Here is a 21,098-nt window from a genome sequence, read left to right on the forward strand (position 1 = left end):
GTGGCTTGCGAATTATCGCAGCATCATTTGTTAAATAGGGTGTTCTTTCCCCCACTTTATGTTTTTGTTTGCTTTGTAGAAGATCAGTTGGCTGTAAGTATTTGGGTTTATTTCTGGGTTCTCTATTCTGTTCCATTGGTCTATGTGCCTAGTTTTATACAAGTACCATGCTGTTTTGGTGATTATGGCCTTATCCAAAGAGTATATATTATGTTTTATTATGGTGCCAGGCAGTGACATTGGTACAACTAATATATGCCCTTATGGAACTCAAGATTTCTTATGTTAAATACAGAATAAAGGAAGTAGGAATATTTATAGCTGTTAGGCCTTTAGTTAATTTTGTCTAGATGGAGTTTCAAATTACTTATGATTTGTTGTCAGTTCAGTGCATAAGGAGAAATTTATCTTATAAATAGCTTAGAAAGGAGTCATGTCATAAAATGACATGTCTCAAAATGTCTTGTGAAGCCAAGTTTTCTTCCAGCATGGCAAGCAATCACCATTTCTCTTGCTGAGCATCTAATGAAGTCATAGGTTTGATGTAGAGGGTATGTTGTGTGAAAAGTACTACTTTGAAATATTAGATAACTTCAGAGTCACAACATGCTCATATTCAGAAAACAAGTGACCCTGACTTCCGCTGATCCGCAGCTCTCATATTACACCAGCCATGGGTAGGTTGTTTGCTGAGTGTACCCTCATAACCCAGTTTTTACTGTATCTTGCTCTTCAGCAAGTGCTGTTTCTCCTTCCAGTATACTTCTCTCTGGTTTTTTTTTTTACTTTGCCTCAAGTCAGTAGAGTTTAATTTAACTAGTTTTTTTGTGCATATACTATATTTTCTTTCAGTCATACTTTTTAAATCTTAGTTACAAAGCACACAACCAATAAGGACCCAAATGTTGTTTCGCCTTAAATTACTTTCTTTTTAATATTTTCTTTTTAATATTCCTCTCCATTCTTGTTTTACATTTGGTGGGTATATTTATTTGTATCTCTTAAGTAAAAGAAACTAAGGGACTTTGAAAAAAAAACAACTTTTCACTAATAACAGAGAATAAGTAAGACGTTAGTATCTATGTCAATGGTGGTGAGGGAAAGGGTAAATGCTTTCTAGAGTAAATAAATTCAAAGGATTGTATGTCATGTTAATATAACAAAAACAAAATTAGAAAGACGTTTTCTTAGATTATAGTAGTGTATTGTGTATATACCCTTATCTAATAGTGTTTGAGTCTATCCCTCCACTATATGTATATCCTAAATTGTACAGAGACACTAGTATGCTAAAATTTATCATAAGAAAAGATTAAAAGGAGAGAAATGTTTAAAAATGAGATGAAAAACCATAAGTACATGTGTGTGTATGTATATATATATGTGTGTGTATATATTTCCATATTTCTTGTTTCATTCTAAAGGATGGTCTGTGCATCTCTTTCCAGAGATCATGCACCTACAACATGAAGGAATGAAAGAAAACCTAATAATACAGAGACTGGCTGAGCGCGGTGGCTCACGCCTGTAATCCCAGCACTTTGGGAGGCTGAGGGGGGCAGATCACGAGGTCAGGAGATCGAGACCATCCTGGCTAACACGGTGAAACCCCGTCTCTACTAAAAATACAAAAAATTATCCCGGCGTGGTGGTGGGCGCCTGTAGTCCCAGCTACCTGGGAGGCTGAGGCAGGAGAATGGCTTGAACCAGGGAGGCAGAGCTTGCAGTGAGCCGAGATTGTGCCACTGCACTCCAGCCTGGGTAACAGAGTGGGACTCCATCTCAAAATAAATAAATAAAATAAAATAAAATAAAATAATACAGAGATAATTCTTCATTTACAATAAACACTAAGAACACATGCACACAAACACACACACACACACAGAGAGAGAGAGAGATTAGATTAGTAGCAAGGAACTTACATACATGATTAATGTGAATGCCTTCTGAACCAAAGCTGAAGGAAGCAGATGAGAGCTCTGTGGGCGTAGGCTGCTGCTGTGAGCATACAAATAAGTTTGATCATAGCTACAGTCTCCATGCCTAATGTCAAACAACTGTCTTGAAAATCCTAAGTGAGAGTGGGGTGGGTAATTCAGCACAAGTACTGATCTCTGTTGTCATGAATGTCCTTGACAGTGGTAAGAAGTGGGGACCCATTGGGAAGAGCCACCTGAGGTGGCTTCATGACATGATGGATTTTGAAGAGATGTCTTAGACAGATCTAATGTTAGAACAATAAAAGTGGTACCATGGCTGTAGGAGATCCTGAATGCATGACATTCTTTATCACTGGGATAAAGAACATTCTAGATTAAGTCATGTAACATTCACCTCAGCAAATGGAACAGCAGGGTCAGCAAATCTCATTTTGAGTCAACAAATGCAAACATTGCATTATTTCTTTTCCCCACTGAGAGACTGTCGTAACACACATAGGATGCTGGACACAGCAACATGGGAGCCAGGTTCTGTACTCTTCTACTTAGGTAAACTTCTGTCAGCCCGCAGAAGTCAGTGAACACAATTATATTAAAACAATGTGTACCATGGACCCATTGGTCAGAAGCCATATTAAATGCAGTTTCATGCATGGTTAGTCATCCATAAACATTTCTGCTTGTAATAATAATGCGGTCAGAAGTAGGCCTTGTGGGGCTGAAAAGAGGTTACTAAACAAAAGTATTAAGGACACAGTCTGTGCAGTGTGTCACTTGGTCAACTGGAAAGCAGTGACGACTTTTCTTATACTTGCCAGGGTGGAATTCTTCTCAGTGTATTGGTGTGAGGTTCTCTCCGGAGGCATTGCAATCTGTTTCTAACTACTTGGCAACAGCTTTTGGAATAAGGCCAAAAAGATTGTCAAATAATACACAGAGTGGAAATGAGCTGTTTGAATTTTTCAGCCATCCTTCCTTTTCTTAGGGCCAAAGATGTAGTTTTATAAATCTCCTTAATTAGTAATTTCTACCAGAATGAGTTAGAATTATTACATGGAATTTAGCTCTTCTGAATGATGTTCAGTCATTAAGTTATGACAGCTGGTATGCAAAAAAATGTTGACTTATTCCAATCGTTCTGATGCCTAATAGAAAGTAGAGTTTTTTAAAAGCATGTTCATGGGATGGCATTCAAAAACAAGCTTAAGCAATCTTTCTGAGATTGGGAGCCAATCCTTGAGACACCTGGGAATGAACAGTAAAAGGATTGGATATATTGGTTGAATCAGTCTCCTCATTTCACATGTTGATGTTTTAAGAGATAGGCGGCTTGGCAAACCATGGTGAGAGATGACCTCTTGAGTTGAAGGCTTATGTTCACTCTGTAGTTCAGAGGTCTGATCTTTCAATGCTTCCTGACGAAGCTCTCCTCGTTTTGGTCCATATCGTTTTATTTTGAAAGATTAGTCACAGCATCAGACAGATGCAAGTAGCTATTGTGCCAGACAGGTCAGGAGAACCGCTATGTAGAAATGCTTACAGTTGTGGTCTGTTGCAAAATACGTGAATTCATGAGAGAAGACACATCGATAATGTTTTCAATGAGAAGTGTAATTACGTGGCTGCTTTTTGCATGCCTGCCCTCTCTCCTCCTTTTGTTCCTTGACAGAAATTCGCAGGACCCCTTTTTTAGCAACAGAGCAATACTATAGCTTAGGTATTTGAGTGGAAATTTTGAGGGGTGTGGGGAGAAAGAAAAATTAAATCCATTTTTTTAAACAGAAAATGTAAGAATTAATTTAAAAGTGACTCAAATGATAATTGTTTCCAAAATTACAACTTTCTAATCTATCCCTAGGTGCTGTAAACTGCAAACCATAATCCTGTCTTAATACTGCAAACAAATCATAGTGGAACTAAGGGGAACTTAATTTACTGGTAAGAGTATTTTCCTTAATCAGTTGTTTTATGCATTTTTGATTGTATTTAATTATTGCAGTACATAGGGCAGGAGTCACAAAAGATAAGGATAAGGAGACGTTGCAGAACTTTTGTCTTCACTACGGTCTTAGCGTAGATATGGACCAGATATATCATATAGTGAAGGTTTTTTTTGTTTTTTGAGTTCCATTAAATTGCTGGTTTATTTTTGAAAGAGCAAAACCCTTACCTTAAAGTTATTTTTCTTGTTGGCTGACCTGTTGGCATATTTGAAAGTGGCATATTTATAATATTTATCAAAATGTCATTTTTAATAGAAAAAAATAGTTTCACCACTGAGATTTGAGAAGGTTGACTTCTAAGGAGGCTTGAAGTTTCAGTGAGAAAACCTGTATTTTCAGGGGGTTAACAGAGCTCACGCTTCATAGTCTGAACGACTTACAGCTTCAGTCACTGTTCCTTGAATTTGAATCCGTTTGAAATCTGACCTGAATCCTTGATTGGAGTTTTTTCAAATTCTTTGTGCAACACCAAGCTGAATTATAACTAATTTCAAAGAGTTTGGAACAATAAGAAAAGTTCACATTGGAAGGAGGGCCAAACACACAGTGATGTAGTTCTAGGTAAGCTGTTTAGCTATTTTGATGACCCATTTTGTAAATCATAAAACTGGAATAATAGTTGTAACTGCCTACAGGTGCAGCCTAAATTAGATTATTACGATAATGAATATTAGCACTGGGTTTGGTCCATAGCATTGTGTTTGGTTCAGTAAGTGCCAATAATTAGTATCACGACTAGTTTTTAAAGACAAAATAATTGGAGGAAAAACAAAAACGAGTAATTTTTTTCTCAATGATGAAAGAATGGTTTTCTTACTTTCTCAGGAGCACATTATGTCACCAAGAGAATATGCACTCCAGAAGAAATAAGATATTACTTGGTGCATGAAGAATTTTTTTCTATGCATTTGTTGCAAATGGGACCTTAATACAAATATAAAATAATGAAGACCATGTGGAAAGAGATAGAAAATCTTGGCTTTATGGGTTACTGTTAGCATACCTGGTTCCTGGTAACCCCCAGCGGCCTTCTAAATGAATGCAGGCCATACCAAGAATAAGTCTATGAAGAAACTCTCTGTGCTTTGAAAAACATTTGATCTCTTCTCTCATCCACTGGAGTGGTTTTGCCCTCCACTATTTTTAGATCTTCACTTGGGAACTTTCTCCAAGAGGGGTTCTCCATACAGACTTTCTAACCACAGGGCATCTGAAAGTCTCTTGTAACATTAAAAATGGTTTGAAGTATATTCTAATATCCTTAGAGAAAACTCTTCCCAAAACCTGATTAATCAATTCCTTTGATGATGATTGTGTGGGATACATTTATTCCATTAAAACACTTTTATGATTTCACTTTAAATGAATTTCTAGTTCATAAGAAACATAGGTAAATCTTCTGAGATAGTAATGAACAAAATACAATACCCAGGGTATTAAATTTTAAAAAAGAGATTATCATACTACTATGAGAAACTGTAATTGTGGTTGTGTCATGATGATGTATTAATAATTATTTCTCTTGACATTATGAAAATGGATGGTAACCCGCAAAACACCCTTCTTGCTCGTAGCCCTGCATTCTTTCCTGTATTTTATTGAATTATGTTTATTTCTTGTGTTCCTCTTGGTGATTGATGAAATCATTATTTAATTCTACAAAATAAGTTCCCTTACCGTCAGTTTTCATTGTGCTAGGGAAATCAGCCATCAGGTTCCAGGAAGGGTTTGTGGAATCGTAGTCATAAAACACCCATACCCACACCCACACACAAACACGCATTTACCTAATCTTCATTTTTCTTTTCAGAATCTCTTGTTTGGAAATTTCCTCCCAGAATACCCAACCTCTCAAGAATTTTAAAACGATGGAGTAAAATAATCTTCAAGCTCTGATTAGATTACAACATATGAATGCTAATTTTGTTTTTACAGGTTTCAACACCCAAATTTATCTGAACTTAGGGCACAATAAGCAGTTTAACTGTTAGAAATCTTATGAGATTGAGTTTGTGCCTATCAGATGAATACATATTTGTATATAACATTTCAATTATTGCTACATTTATGTATAATTTATCCAAAAGCGATGTTATCCATGCATCTTAACAGAAGGCTTAAGTAGTTGAATGACAGGGACTACATTTTTGCTGCAGAAGATCATGATAAAACATGTGCTGTGTGGTCACCTTGGGTAATGTGCCGAGACTGCTTGATGGTACTTATCTCTACACACTGCATCTCATACTGATTTATGGATTTGGATGACTTATTTTATGTCAAAGACATAAAGAGAGTAGAGAAGAGAGAATAGTATTTTCATTTCAGTCTTAAAAAAGTTCTATCCTATGAGATGTTAACAGCTGCCTTCTCTTGGTGGTCTGTGAAGTTTTTATAAAGATATTGATTATTTTCCAATGACACACAAATCTACTGCTAGAGACCATTCAAATGCTTAGTTACACCAGGGCTTGGCTCCTGTACCCTGAGGAGGACACGATTAACCAAATCCTCCTTTTTAAATGTTCTCAGGACAATGAGCTGCACATACGGCACAAATGCAATTTGCTTGACCAATCTTGCCTCTGTCTCCTTCTATCTCCGTTTACATGCTTCATGCTCAGTTGAAATTAATTCTCTACACATTGGTCTCATGAACACATCTTTGAGAGCAGAGTTCAAGTTAAATTTTTATTTTCATCATTACCTCTGAGAACACAATCTGGGGCATATTAGACGCTTTGTAAGTGTAGAGGTGGGGAGAAAGAAGAAGAAAGAGAGGAACAGAAGGAGGGAAAGATTTTCCTGATAGATCACTTTCTGGACACTTTCTGTGCTGAGAAGTTCTGAGATTGCCTCTCTGGATCCTGCTATCTTGGCAGTCTTGCTAAGAGTTTCCATTTACACTTAAACATGGTTACTGATGCGTCTTAATGTTGCCTTAACTATCAGGTTTCTGATAGCCCCACATAGCCAAGTGGGACCCTGGTCAAGAAGTTCACCTCTGTTAAATAAATATGCATAGATTTTCAACATCTCTTCACATGCATTCAGAGGTGATGAAAGATTCCACTGGATGCTAGAACATTGTGCATAAATAATCGAAGTTGTATGCTCTTCAGCAATGATGCTACCCCATATCCTTTTTTTTTCTTTCCCATGATATGAGGATATGAGTGCAGCAGAACTAGCTCCATGCCCTTGTCCCAGAATTAATCATTCCTATCCATATTTGATGTCTTTACCTTTTAAATATTTATGGGCTGTTATGTTCCTTTCTTGTTGTTCACCCACTCTGGGGACATTCAGAAGCCTCACATTTCTTCCTTAGCCAAACACCCCATTCCCTTCATCCTCTCTCAGCTGTTCTTTGGATTACCTCCAAATTGCATACATAATTTTGGTATTGAGGTGCCAAAAATGCATTTGTTTCAACTGGAGTTTTATTGAAGTTGCTTTTACTCAAATCAAGTACACAAATAAATTTGATTTCCAAGGCATGAAAATTCAGTTAGGTCTCCGAAGGGAAGCTGAGGTATACTTATATTTCATTATAATGCTACAGGTAGATTTTAAGTCACTAGGAAAATGACATCTCAAAATCAAAAGATTATAGAATGAGCACTATATGAAGAATTACATTTTAAAGCATAGGTCTGTGATCATTTTGTAGGTTTTTGTTGTTACTGTCAGTCTATTGGTTTTTATTAATAATTTTATTGAGGTATAACTGATACACAAACGACATATTTAATGTGTACAATTTGATGAGTTTGGACATATCCGAGGACTCATGAGACTGTCACTGCAATCAAGGTAATAAATGTATTTATTACTTCCAAAAGTTTCCTCTGTCCCTCTGTTTTTGTTTGTAAGATTTTAATAGGCTCAAGCTCAATCTTCATAGCCTTTTTTTAAGTTAATTTTTTCTTTCTTTCCAAATTCAGAAGGCAGATTCATTTCATCAAAAGAAAACAGTTCCTCAGTTGCTACTGCATTGCAGAGAAAAGACTGACTATAATCACCATTAAATTATTAAAGAATAAAAGATACTGAAACCCAGCAAAACTTGGGTGATCTCTTTCATAAGCAGACACTTTTAATCTTATATTGACATTTAAAAGGACTGTTCAAGTAGCAACATGACAGACTGCACATATAAAATGTCCATGAAAATATGTAGCACAGCTAAACAAATAACTCAGAGCAAAATCCAATGAAAGGAGAAAATTGTGTTTCCTCAAGAAAATGCTATTTTTGCCCTAAGGCAATTCTTGCTGGAGAAAAATACCATGTAAAACATTGACACAAATCACAGACATCTCTTCTAAACAGTGGATTTTATTGGACTGCACACGCGTGCAGAGATTTGGCAGATATTTGAGGTCTTGGAAAGGAAACAAACCAGCGAAATATATCACTATTATCACCAACACAACTGCAGAGGGCAAAGAGCAGACACATCTCAGAGCCTAGTGATGAAGCAGGGCATTAAAAACTAAATCAAAGCCTCTGATCAAAGGCTAATTTAGTCTGTCATAATTGACTTGCAGTGGAAGGAAGCCTCATGCACAAAGATCAAAGATTAGTGACTTCACATTTACCACAACATCCCCACCCTAAAGGAGGGAAAAAAATCAGAAAGAAGAAAGGGGAAAAAAGAAGAAACATGTCAAAGCTCACTAAGAACCCTGTGCAATGTAATCTACCTTTCTTAAGGATAGCATGCATTATTAGAAAAATGAAAATGAATTTTATTATGGCATGTTTGAGTTCTACCTTCGAAAGAGTGAGAAACTGGCACTATTGGCTTAAGTAACTTATTTGCAAACAGGCATTATTAGGCAGTGCCTTTTGCTGCAGTTGCTTCCCTTTATTTGTAGCCCTTCAAATGCATACATTAAGATTCTCTTCACAGTTGCAAACAGCAGGTAAATAATTGTATATTTGAGAGACTATTGCCTATTGAATTTAAGTTGGTCACAGACTTTGGTCCATGGTAACATACTAATTGTTAACTTCCTGTTAACCAGTTATATCAAGCCTTATGTAATTTTTGTTGTTTCAGTACATACTGTGAATATAGCCAGCTCCCTAACTCTGTATGAATATTATATGGGGAGGAAAAAATCCTGTTTCTCTATTCTTCTAAAATCTGTACCTGGGGACTGTGAATTAAACTAACAAAAGACAGATTAATAGGAAAAAAAAGCATACTTTTTTTTTTTGAGACATGTCTCACTCTGTCACCCAGGTTGGAATGTAGTGGTGCAATCATAGCTCATTGCAGCTTTGATCTCCCAGGCTCAAATGATTCTCTTGCCTTAGCCTCTTGAGCAGCTGGCACTACAGGCATGCATCACCACACCTGGCTAATTTTTTATATTCATAGAGATGGGGTCACACTATGTTGCCCAGGCTGGTCTTGAACTCCTGAGCTCAAGCAATTCTCCTGCCTCAGCCTCCCAAATTGCTGGGATTACAAGCCACAAATTTTATTTGATATTAGTAATTTAATTTTTACATGCGGAGAGGATGTCATAGTAAAGAAGTGAAAATCAAAAAAGCAATTAGACCAGGTTTGTATACTATTTTAACTAAGGGTGATAAATTGTGTAGAAGTGACAAGACAAAGGAAAAGAGATTTAGGCTTCTAGGAGCAGTTAATTGTGAGAAGTTAAGTATATGGGCAAACCTAGTGGAAGATTAGGGTTATTTTTAGTAAGATTTGTCTGTGCAGATCTATCTCAGTACTGAGTTTCTATCTCCAGTGATAGTGGTTGTCCTCCTGGTACAGCAGTGGGAACGGGGAAGACCCTCACAAAAGGAAGTGTATGTCCTCCTTTTAGGCCTATAGTGGGGAGGCAAAGAGCTCTTTCTGTGTTTGCTGCTTGCTGACTGCCTTCAGCTCAAAGTAAACCTTATTGCCAAAGTGGCATATTTTGGGGTGTCATATTCTGATCTCTTTCAGTTCCTATTTATTATATTCTCCTGTCATTATGCTTTGTATATTTTATGACATTTTAAACCTGTGCCATGTGTAAAATGACAGTGAAAAGGAAGGTAATCCTCTTATGAAATGTCTTTCTAGTTGTCTAATTATAGGGTGCCCTATTAGTTTGTAGGAATTAAGCATTTTCAAAGGCATTTATTCAACGATTGTTTTTGTGTGGCTGTTAAGAGCCACAGGGTTGAAGATACAGTCGCAAAGAGAGACACAGTTCTTATCCTCATGAAGCTTATAATCTTATAAAGGCAGATATGTTATTCAAGTTATAATGCAAACAAATGTAAAATTGCTGCTCTAATAAGCGCCAGAATATGGTGATTTGACCTGTGGTGGTCAGAGAAAGCTTCTCTGAGCAACAAATGCCTGATCAGAGTTGAGAAGTAAACTAAACCAGAAAGTAAGACTAGAAGGATCCATTTGATTGGGAACTTTATTAGAATGCTTTCATTTTTCTTGAGATAGATGTGGAATCCATCTGTGCTGGGGAGGTAAAAAATTAGTCCACCTCTCAGGCAGAGGACAGACAGTGCTGTAGATAATGCACTGAGAATGGATTTTAGTTCCAGAAAAATATGAGTTCCAGCTTTAACTCAGCAACTTTTCGGTTGAAGATTTGGACAAACTAGTCAACCTCTCTGAACCTGAGGCTGCTAATCCGTAAAGTGGGCTCATAATCCTTATCTCAGATAATCATCTCAACTACTGTTTGTTATCAGTGTCATCAACATAGTGCTGATTTGCAATGTGATCTTAGGCAAACCATTTTATCTCTTTGAGTTTCAATTTCACACTTCTTTAAAATGGGGGATGTTGGATTAAATGGTTTCAAGATTTCTTTCAGCTCTACATTTCCATGATTTTGCAAGCAAATGTAAAGCTGGAAATTTCTGTCTAGATATCATGGGAAGCCTATATCCTGGAAAGTTAGAAAAAGTGTTGTTTTTGGAAAGTAGACTTTTTAAAAGAGGCATAATTCCACCCGTTAGCGATTTTACTTATATTTCTTTAATCCACACTTAGAAGTTTCTATTATCTTAGATTCAATTTTATAGCACATATTTCTTCTACTAAAAAGCCTTTAAAGTGTTTCAGTGGGATGTTTAATTTCCCATTATGGTTGGTTTCTCAAATCATTCCTTTTGTAATTGTCACATTTTTACAGTCCTGTTTAAAACAAATTCAGTTTTTCAACTAAAAATATCAAGCTGAGTTGGAAATCGAAATCCAAGGACTGCAAAATCAAATGATAATAAACCAACCATAAGGTTAAACTTTCCAACCACCACAAACTTAGAGACCACCAGAAATTTGTGTTACTTGTTTCTTATAAAATATAGAATAATCTTTTGAAGATTCTTGTGGCCAAAGTAAAATTTTATTACATTTCTAAATCTAGAAAAGGGAAAACTATTTTTAACACCTTGTTACTTATTTAAACATAAAAATATTTAGTTTGATTGGAGCCTCTTCTTGACTCTATTCATATTTCACTTAAATTACTATTGTTTTAGCTATACAAAGCCTGCTTCTGATTATATTTATGTTAAACATTTAATCTTTCTTTGTAGAGCCACAGATTTAAGAAAGCATCCAGATATATATATATATATATATATATATATATATATATATATTTCTATTTTGGTATTTTAAAATCTCACTCATGTTTTGATTAATAAATATTCTTAAGTGCTTTCATATTTATCTTTATTTTTACCTTAGGAAACACATATTGAATATATTAAATAGGTATACCAGGTGCTATTGTCCTTACGTTATAGGTTAGAAAACTGGGCCATTGATTTATTCAAGTTCGATTGTATATTTATCGAGTGAAAATTAGATCTCATATCTCATATCTTCTAACTTCTTATTTTGCATTGCCTTACTGATTTTCCAAGGTAAGGAAGAACCTACCCAATCAAATGAAAGAGTGCTGACATGAATTAAATCTGGTTAAATGTCTGATGGTCTGATTGTCCTCAATGATTATAGCATTCAATGGTATTTTATTTTCATTTACCCTTCCATTTGTTTCTTATAATATTTCCCATTTTGTTAGCCTATGTATAGATACGCTTTTCATTAGTGAATGTCCAATTATCATGCTTTCATTTTGGGTGGAAGACTGATTAGCATGGATTAATTAAGGTAATTAAATAATTATAGTTACTGTAATGTAACTATATAGAAATGAACATTAGCATGGCCTAATTATCTAGTATTTAGGAACATATGCTTTGGAGAGGTGATTTAAGTGGGCTTGAATTTGACCTTCCATACTTACTAGTAATGTGTGCTTTTACAAGTTACTTAATCTTTATGAGCCTTAATTTCTCATCAGTAAAGAGGAGATAGTAGTCCTTACAGAGTTTATTTTTAATAGACACATTTCTATAATTGTACTATATTTTACACATGGTAAACTCTCAATATTATGATTAACAATGCTTTTATTGCCCTAGCCATGGCTGTGATGTATCTCGTTATGAACCAATTATGCTCCCTTAGCACCATAGTTATAGAGGATGGGACAGTTAATGCGAGTTAGGTTGTTTAGAGTTCTTCTCTGAGGAGTTATTGAATTGATGCTGAAGTAACAGAGCTGGTATCAGAGAATTATACCAGTACGTAAGCAAGAAAGAAACAAGAATAAGCAAGAAAGTCTCAGAGGTGTTTGGGTTTCTGGATCCAGGGGTCCCTGTAGCTGGTTCCCTCTCTACCTTTTCTGTAGTTTTTGTATGCGGGCCAATAAAGTTCCATAACTTGTTAGTTTAGCTTAGTTTGATTTGGGTTCCTGTGACCCACTAATGTAATCCAATAATACAACATCTTAAAGACACATTTCTTTGTCTTCAAGTTAACATGTATTACTCACAACAGTATCTTAATACTTATTTATTTATATGTTTATTTTGTTTCTCCCAATTACTAAAATGTAAGCTCTATTTGAACAAAAACTTGCAGTACTCTTTCTTCAGCTGTTGGAAAACCTCTACCACCTACTAGGTTCTCAGTAAATATTGGACGAATAAATGGATAAAAAGAGAAAGAAAGTGACACTTTTCTAAAAGTGCTCCTGAATTAAAATTGCATCTGTATTTCTTCCTGAATAGACTAGAAAAGGACACAAATTTAACATTTATTGAGAACTTACACTGAGCTAGCCATCATGTTAGATATTATATACATTTTGAACTTGATGATATTATCTCCATTTTACGAATGCACAAATGGAGGGACAAAGAGCTAAAGTCAAATTGGTGGCCTCCTGGTTCTCTGCTCAGACCGACCTTTGAGAACCAGCTGCTTCCCCAGCTGCTGGGATGTGTCCAGTAGCTAGCACTTAACATGTTAGCCCTGCTTTAGGGATTGCCTCAGTGGAAGAGAGTACTCCTTTGTGCAATGTCATGTCCCCTTTCCAGGGAAGCCCACATCTAATGCCTATAAAGGCCCAACACCATCAGCTCAGCTCTGGACAACTCCTGCTTCCGAACACCCCTTTCCCATAAATTGATCTCACATCCCTCACTAATAAACAAGACTCTTCTTCCCAGGGAAACCAACCTGCTATGGTAATTTTCAAATATCTCTGCCCAAGCTAGTGACATGGCCTCTCTAAGGAGGTAAAGTGGGCTGATACCCACTGAAACTGGGAGAAGTATAGTTCCAAGGTATGATCTGAGAAAGGGCTAGGTATTTTCTAGGGTCTTAAAGATAGGTTTTTTAGCTGGGATACAGGGAGCTTGTGATGAGATGATTGTCAGGGCAGCAGACATCAGACTATGCAGGGCCTTATAAGCCACGTATCTTGGTGCTTTTGTGCTGCTATAATAGAATACCACAGACTGGATACCTTGTGGATAGTAGAAATTTATGTCTCACAGTTCTGGAGGTTGGAAAGTCCAAGATCAAGGCATCAGCATCTGGTGAGGGCCTTCTCGATGCTTCCTTCAGAGTGGAGGTAGCCATGCCTCACATATTGGAAAGTGGAAAGGCAAGCTAGCTAAATCCTGCATGAAGCCTCTTCTAAGGCCTTTCTGAGGGCCTTAATCCCATTCATGAGGGAGGAGCCCTTCTGACCTAATCACCTCTTAAAGGCCCACCAGTTAATACTATCACATTGACCATTAAGTCTCAACACTTGAATTTGGGAAGGGATGCATTCAAACCCTACCATCATGCAAAGAAGCCAAAGTTATATTTCCTATTGTCCCTACCCTTTCCTCAGATACCAGGATTTGCCTATCTCCATCTCTAGCTACAATTGTTCTGAATTTTGGGGCCCGTTTTTGCTGCATGAATTTGTATTTGAATTCAAGACTTGAAAGATTAATTTTCCTTTCAGAATGTTATTCATATACCCCTTCATTCTTAACCTGCTCACTGGTTTCCTACCATAATTACAGTCTCAAACAGTGGTTGCATTCTGGCAAAACGATGTTTTGAGTTAGAGTTGTTATGCAGTTAGTCAGTTGTTTGTAGTTAAAAAGTCTCTTTCTTATTCACTGAAATGACTGGAGTCCCAGCTGCTAGGATTCAAAGGCAACAGGGAAGACTTCCTAGAGTTTCATGTGATCATAAAAACCTTTCCAGACGTTTTAAGTGATTATGATTTCTATGCTGCATTGACTTACAATTAGAGATCATTCAAGTAACTTAGAATTCAGTAACTTCTAGGTCACAGAGAGGCTCAGATACACACTGTTGACAGCCTTTTGGTGTCTTTGTATGTGTGTGTGTGTGTATACATACATACACACTAAACTGTACTGCTGTATGTGTGGGAAAAAGTCTAAATACTAAGCATTTTTATTCTATTTTGGGCAAGTATCTGTGCTCAATGGATGCAAGTTGGTATCTAAAATCTAAAAAATGCAAAGATAAATGGATCATCTGTGTACTTCAAGCTTTATTTTCTTGCATAGTTTTTTCCTAGTATTTCCTGACAACCTAGAACAGTAGTTCTCGCCTTTGACTGCCTATTGCCATTGCCCGTAGCATATTTTAGATCTAAGGATCCCTGGACAGATACTCTAACTCAGTGGATGGAGCCCAGGTAGCTGTTTTGTTTGTCGTGGTAGTTGCTCTTTTTAATGTCTACCCATTGTCCTGTAAGACAACTAGGGTTGTGAACCATCGGTTTTTTACACTATCTAAAAGGAAGGTGTCTGTGGATTGAGGATATTTCTTACCTTGCCTACTTCCACACTTTCAACTTTCTAAAATTCCTGGGATTCATGCTCCCATTCCCCAAAGAATAGTGAGTTACCTATAATTATCTACAGCATCTATCAATAATGCCTTTAGTTCCTCACTTTGAGTTCTGCTTAGAGCTAAACATATTCTAAGCGAAGTAAGGAGGTTTCATGCTTCTGTGTATGCATAAGTGTGCCTGACAAAGAGATGAAACATGAAAGTGAAACAATACTGATAAATGAAATTTAAAAATATAGTATGACTTTGATAGGTAGTCTGTATTCTGGCACTTCATGAAATCTCCAAATTATTGTATATTACCATAGCATGCAATTTTTACTTATAGCATGGTAAAGCAGAGCTCCTCCTTTTGAGTGATGTACAGCTATTGCACCACTCTAAGTGGTAACTTAACACAGAATAAATATGAATAGAATTATCTAGAGTTGTACAACTCAGTACCTTTGGTTTGGACCAGAGAAAAAGGCCTTAGAGTAGTGGTTTTCAACCAGGAGTGATTTCGCCCTTCAGGAGCATTTGGTAACATTTGGAAATATTTTTAGCTGTTAACGCTAATGAGGGAGAGACTTGCACCTGGTCAGTAGAGGCCAAAGATGCTGCTACATGTTCTGCAACACTCAGGACAACTGAATGCCCAAAAAGAATTATCTTGCCCCAAATGGAATCATGCTGAGGTTGAGAAACTCTGGCTTAGAGAATTGTATTAGTCATCCTGGCCCATAAAATTCCCATGAAAATTTGGGAACGAGGGGAGGATTCATATGTATCTTTTTGGTATTGTATTTCTGGCGCCTGGGAGCTTGCTCAGCATGCAGTAGTTGCTAAATATGTTTTTGGATGACTGAGTGATGGCATGATTTGAATCAGACAACATTATTTTACCAGCCTTGGAATCTGGGCAAAAGTGGGCTGCTTAGGAGCAAAGACACGAGTCTGTGTATTTCTGTGGTTGCCTTTCCATGGAAATTCCCATTCAAGGGGATACCTAATATGTAAGGATTAAAGATGCCTCCTCCATGGATTTTCCATGGTGTCTCACATTCTCTAATTAGTTATTCCTTAAAGTTTTGTCCACCTGTGTATCTTTAGTGGTATGGCTTCATGTCACCTCAAATATGGAGGCATTAGCTTTGTTTAGTTCAGTATATACCAGATTATGGGATGGAAAATACTGAAGGGATATCAAATGATCATACGTAATCTAAGATATAATTAAATAATAAACTTACATAAAGCATTTAAAAAAAATTTAGTTCTCTTTCCCTTAATTCTTTCAATATTTCAGGTAGAGTCAAAGGCTGGTTTTGTGCTATCATGATTTTATAACTAATTTTTAACACCATCTCCTTTTCTTCTTTTCTTCTTCTTTTTTTTTTTTTTTTGTGAGACAGAGTCTCTCTCTGTAGTCCAGGCTGGAGTGCAGTGGCACCACCTCGGCTCACTGCAACCTCCGCCTCCCGGGTTCAAGCAATTCCCCTGCCTCAGCCTCCCAAGTAGCTGGGATTACAGGTGCCTGCCACCATGCCTGGCTAATTTTGCATTTTTAGTAGAGATGGGGTTTCACCATGCTGACCAGGCTGGTCTCAAATTCCTAACCTCAGGTGATCTACTGCCTCGGCCTCCCTAAGTGCTGGGATTACAAGTGTGAGCCACTGTGCCTGGCTCTCTTTTTCATAAAGAGACAGCAAACCTCAAAATCAGAGATTCAGCTTGCCACAGGTCTATTTAAAATTGTTTTTATTTCAATTCATGTATTTTTTATGTAAAGTAGTGTTGATTTCCTGTTTATAGCAGTGGAGAACATATTAAGATATTTTAATTTAAATAGAAAAGTAAGCCAATTACAAATAAGTGCAAGTAGCGTACAGATATGAAAAAAATCATAATCATGTCACTTAAATAGGCGAAGAAATCATTGAATTTATTTGTTTTGTTAACATTGTCTCATCTTGAAGGAGAAGATGGAATCTGGAGATTGCAGCTTGAATGGCTCCGGAAGAGGCAGCATGTTCGGTGGATTGGATGTGTTTGCATAACTGTGGGACCACATGGGAGGTGACGCAGGAAGGCTGAAAGAGGACAGTCTCCAAAGGAGGGAGCAAACCTTGAAAACACCTGCAGGGCCCTTTTAATGGCCAACTGCATCAATTTAAAACGTTCACTTGCTCCCCCATGGCTGTCTGTCCAGGCAGAAGCAACATGACCTCTGGTTTGAAAGGCCTCTCAGATTAAGAGAGAATATTGTGTCTTGGGGAAATCAATCATATTATTATGAATCATAGAATTATGAGTCATGTGTTATAGGTTGTTTCAGGCAACAAGACCTCAGATGTCCTTCACTTCAACCACTCTTGGGATACTGAAGGGTATTGCCATTGCAATCTGTGGCCAACATCTACTTCCACATCTCTCCCTCTTGGGGCTTTCAAGTCCAAGCTTGGAGTCATGTTTGTAGGAGCCTCAAATCTCTCTCTCAAGAATTTTCATTTGTTTTCCCCAGTTCTCCCCTGTGGAACCATGGAAATTAAAATCGAAACCCTGTTCTATTACTTTCACATGTTTGAAGATAGATTTCATGTCTTACTTGAGCCATTTTTTTCTTCAAGAAAACATTTCCAGCTCCTTCAACTTTTCCGTCCATGAGATAATGTCAGTCCCTTTTTCCATCTTCGGACCTTGCCTCTGAATAAGCTCAGCTTGTCTGAATCAGTTTTAAATAGAAGCATTTACACTTGGATACAATTTTCCAGGTGTTGCTTCAGTGGGACAAACGAAAGTGAGACAATTGCATCTCTTGTTCTAGATATCATACTTCTTTATCCATACCCTAAGGTTACTAACTTTTTGGCAATTTCATCACATTGTTATTAACTAAGTCCCCTTTTTTTTTTTATAAAGAAGGTACTACAATTATCACACACCTTTATTTTAAACGTATGGCAACATCTTTTTTTTTTTTTTTTTCTGAGACATTCTCCCTTTGTCACCCAGGCTGGAGTGCAGTGGCTTGATCACGGCTCATTGCAGCCTCGACTTCCTGGGCTCAGGTGGTCCTCCCACCTCAGCATCCTGGGTAACTGGCATTACAGGCACATGCCACCATGCATGTCTTTTTTTTAGAGAGAGAATTTCACCACATTTCAGGCTGGCTTTGAACTCCTGGGCTCAAGTGATCTGCCCATTTCAGCCTCCAAAAATGCTGGGATTACAGGCTTGAGCCACAATGCCTGGCCTGCAAATGTCTTTCTAATAAAAGTATGTGTATCTGTAGTGTGTGTGTGCACACGTGCGTGTGTGTGCTTGTGTGTGTGCGTGCTTGTGTGTGTGTGTGCATGCGTGTGTGTGTGTGTGATATAGTGGGGGTGGGGCAGGAGATAGGAATTGCAGAGAAATACGAACAGTTAAACATAAAGAGAAACTGGAAATTTGAAAATATATGAAGTGTCTGACCCCAAGTTCAAGCTGAGAAGCTAGGCATCAATTTTATTTTTCCTTAGCCTGTTTTTAAAAAAGTATTTTTTCAAAGTTTGGTCCTTGAGCCACTTTTCAGCATCATCTTATCAGGGAGGCCTTTCCTGTATGTCCCATTGCTTGTTATCTCATCCACCATTCCTTGCTATCTGCTTTACCCTGCTTTATTATTTTTTTCATAGCTCTTATTACTTCCAAGCATTTTATATCTTTTTATTTATGTATTACAAGGCTTCATGAAAGGAGGTACTTTGTTTTTTTACCACTGCTATTTGTCACAACGAGTTTATTAAATGAACAATTGAATAATAAGTAAAAGGCTAACTTGGGATGTGATTGCATATTCAGATTTTTGGGTCCCAAGCTGGGCCTACAGAATTAGAATTTCTGGTCATGGGGCCCGTTTAACTTACTTTTCTAGTGTTTCATCTGTGTTCTAAAATTTTAGCAAGACTGAAAGTGCACACAATCTCAGTGCACTAAACACTGAAAATAAAGTGTAATGAGTAAATTTTTGAAATATCAGCTGGGCATGGTGGCTCATGCTTGCAATCCCAGCACTCTAGGAGGCCGAGGCAGGCCTATCACTCCAGATCAGGAGTTCAAGACCAGCCTGGCCAGCATGATGAAACCCTGTCTCTACTAAAAATACAAAATTAGCTGGGTGTGGTGGCGCGGACCTGTAATGCCAGTTACTCAGGAGGCTGAGGCAAGAGAATCACTTGAACCCAGGAGGTGGAGGTTGCAGTGAGTCGAGATGGTGCCACTGCACTCCAGACTGGGTGACAGAGTGAAACTCTGTCTCAAATAAATAAATAAATAAATGTTTGAAAAATCAAAAAATGGCCATCTTCCTTTACATTCTTAAAGGAAAACATAAGTCTGTATCAAGGCATTAGAATATAATTATGCTGACTGTATATTTTAAGTCAACTGCATATTACTGGCCAACTGGAGATCACTATCTATTAAGACATAAAATTTGCTATAATGTAGGTTTATTATTTACAGAGGTAAAAGGGCCTTATTCAAACCTTGTTTCGACTATGATGATGTCATGGTTGAGGATTCACTCCCAGGTCCTAAATAACATTCCGATACCAGCACGACAGCAGATTCACACAGGCACAGGCACTTGCAGACTGCCATAGCTTACCAAACAAGACCCAGGTAGAGCATTTCAAAAAGCTACCAAATTGACACAGCTGGGGTGTAGTTTGGGAAATTTGTTCAAAATGCTAATCTTTGAAGTTAAAGGTGGAAAGAAAAAGTCTACATAAAAACCTTCCTTGGAAGGAGAAACTCTTATTTCCCTATAAACTTCATTACTAACAAAATAAGGGAGGAGAGCAATAAGAAACAAATAAGATTAAGGAAGCCAAATGGTTTTTAAATGAGATTATTTTTTCTCAGACTTTTCCACAAGGCGTCAGCAGCTCTGTAACCACCAGATTGTCAGAAATTAGCCTGGTTTTTTTTGGACAGTTTGAGAAGCCATTCCGTCGGCCTTATTTATTGTTTATTAAATTGATTCTACTTGATTTTTTGCAGACATAAATGAGATTCTTCTGAATGATGACCTAAGCTGTTAAACCTTATAATAACATCACTAGTCACTACTTCTGCCTCTCAGCTAGTCAGAAGGGCACACCCTATGGCTTTACCCTTGATCATTGCACAAAAAGAAGAGCCAAGACTGTGTAACCCAAGTGTAATCAAAGTTACATAAAAATTACTTAGTGAAGCCAGCCCCTGATCTGTTTAGCATCATGTTTACTAATTTATTTTTTTTACCTCCAAGTAAAGTACTTGGTCTTTTTTAAAAAAGAAGGAAGAAGAGCAAAATAGAGGGAGGGAAGAAGAGAGGGAAGGAAGAAAGAAGGAAAGAGGAGAAGAGAAAAATAAAGGAAGGAAGGAGGGAGAGAGAGCCTTCTCAAATTCAGAAAATAATATTATTTTTTCTATTATGAAGCATCGTGGAAGAAAATAAGGCCAGTTGCTACTTAAAAGTAAGCATTGGGCTGAGGTTAAGAAATCATATTCTATCTTTAAATTTTATATTCACTACCTGTTTGGCCTCAAAAAGTCACAAACTCATTGAGCTAAGATCTTACTTGTAAAATATATGAATTAGAGCTGAATGATATTATTGAAACATTCCAGCTTTAAAAACTATATGGCTCTTTGATTATTAATGTAACTGTCAGATTTGAAACACAAAGATAGAATGAGTATTTAGAAACATAAGCCACAGACTTAACAACCAGCTCTCAAAATCCTCTCCTCAGTATTTATAAAGAGAAATAAATTTTGAATAAAAAGATAATAATTGGGAAGTACAATTGTTACTGATTATAATTCAATCTTCAATGTTTTACTGGAAAGAAATTGAACAATATATGTTCTTAATAACTTCCTTTAGTCAATAATCGAGTTTGGGAATTTTTAGCA

At 37.0% G+C, this 21,098-nt stretch overlaps 1 protein-coding gene across 18 annotated transcripts in view; it reads left to right on the forward strand.

Moving 5' to 3' along the window:
- The window catches only part of CHL1 (cell adhesion molecule L1 like), a 212,655-nt gene that overhangs the window by 44,049 nt on the left and 147,508 nt on the right, over positions 1–21,098 (forward strand). For 9 of the 18 annotated variants that reach the window (XM_017005566.2, NM_006614.4, XM_017005572.2 and 6 more), the window contains one exon: positions 3,802–3,881. The exons of 8 other annotated variants lie outside the window; for them this stretch is intronic. The gene's annotated coding sequence lies outside the window, so the exon portion shown is untranslated. Of the gene's footprint in view, positions 1–3,801; positions 3,882–5,756; positions 7,791–21,098 lie in introns of those variants that run through there. One more of the 18 variants, NR_045572.2, reaches the window with a different exon arrangement.

The sequence above is a fragment of the Homo sapiens genome, chromosome 3, assembly GCF_000001405.40.
Source record: "Homo sapiens chromosome 3, GRCh38.p14 Primary Assembly".
Classification (NCBI taxonomy): Eukaryota; Metazoa; Chordata; class Mammalia; order Primates; family Hominidae; genus Homo; species Homo sapiens.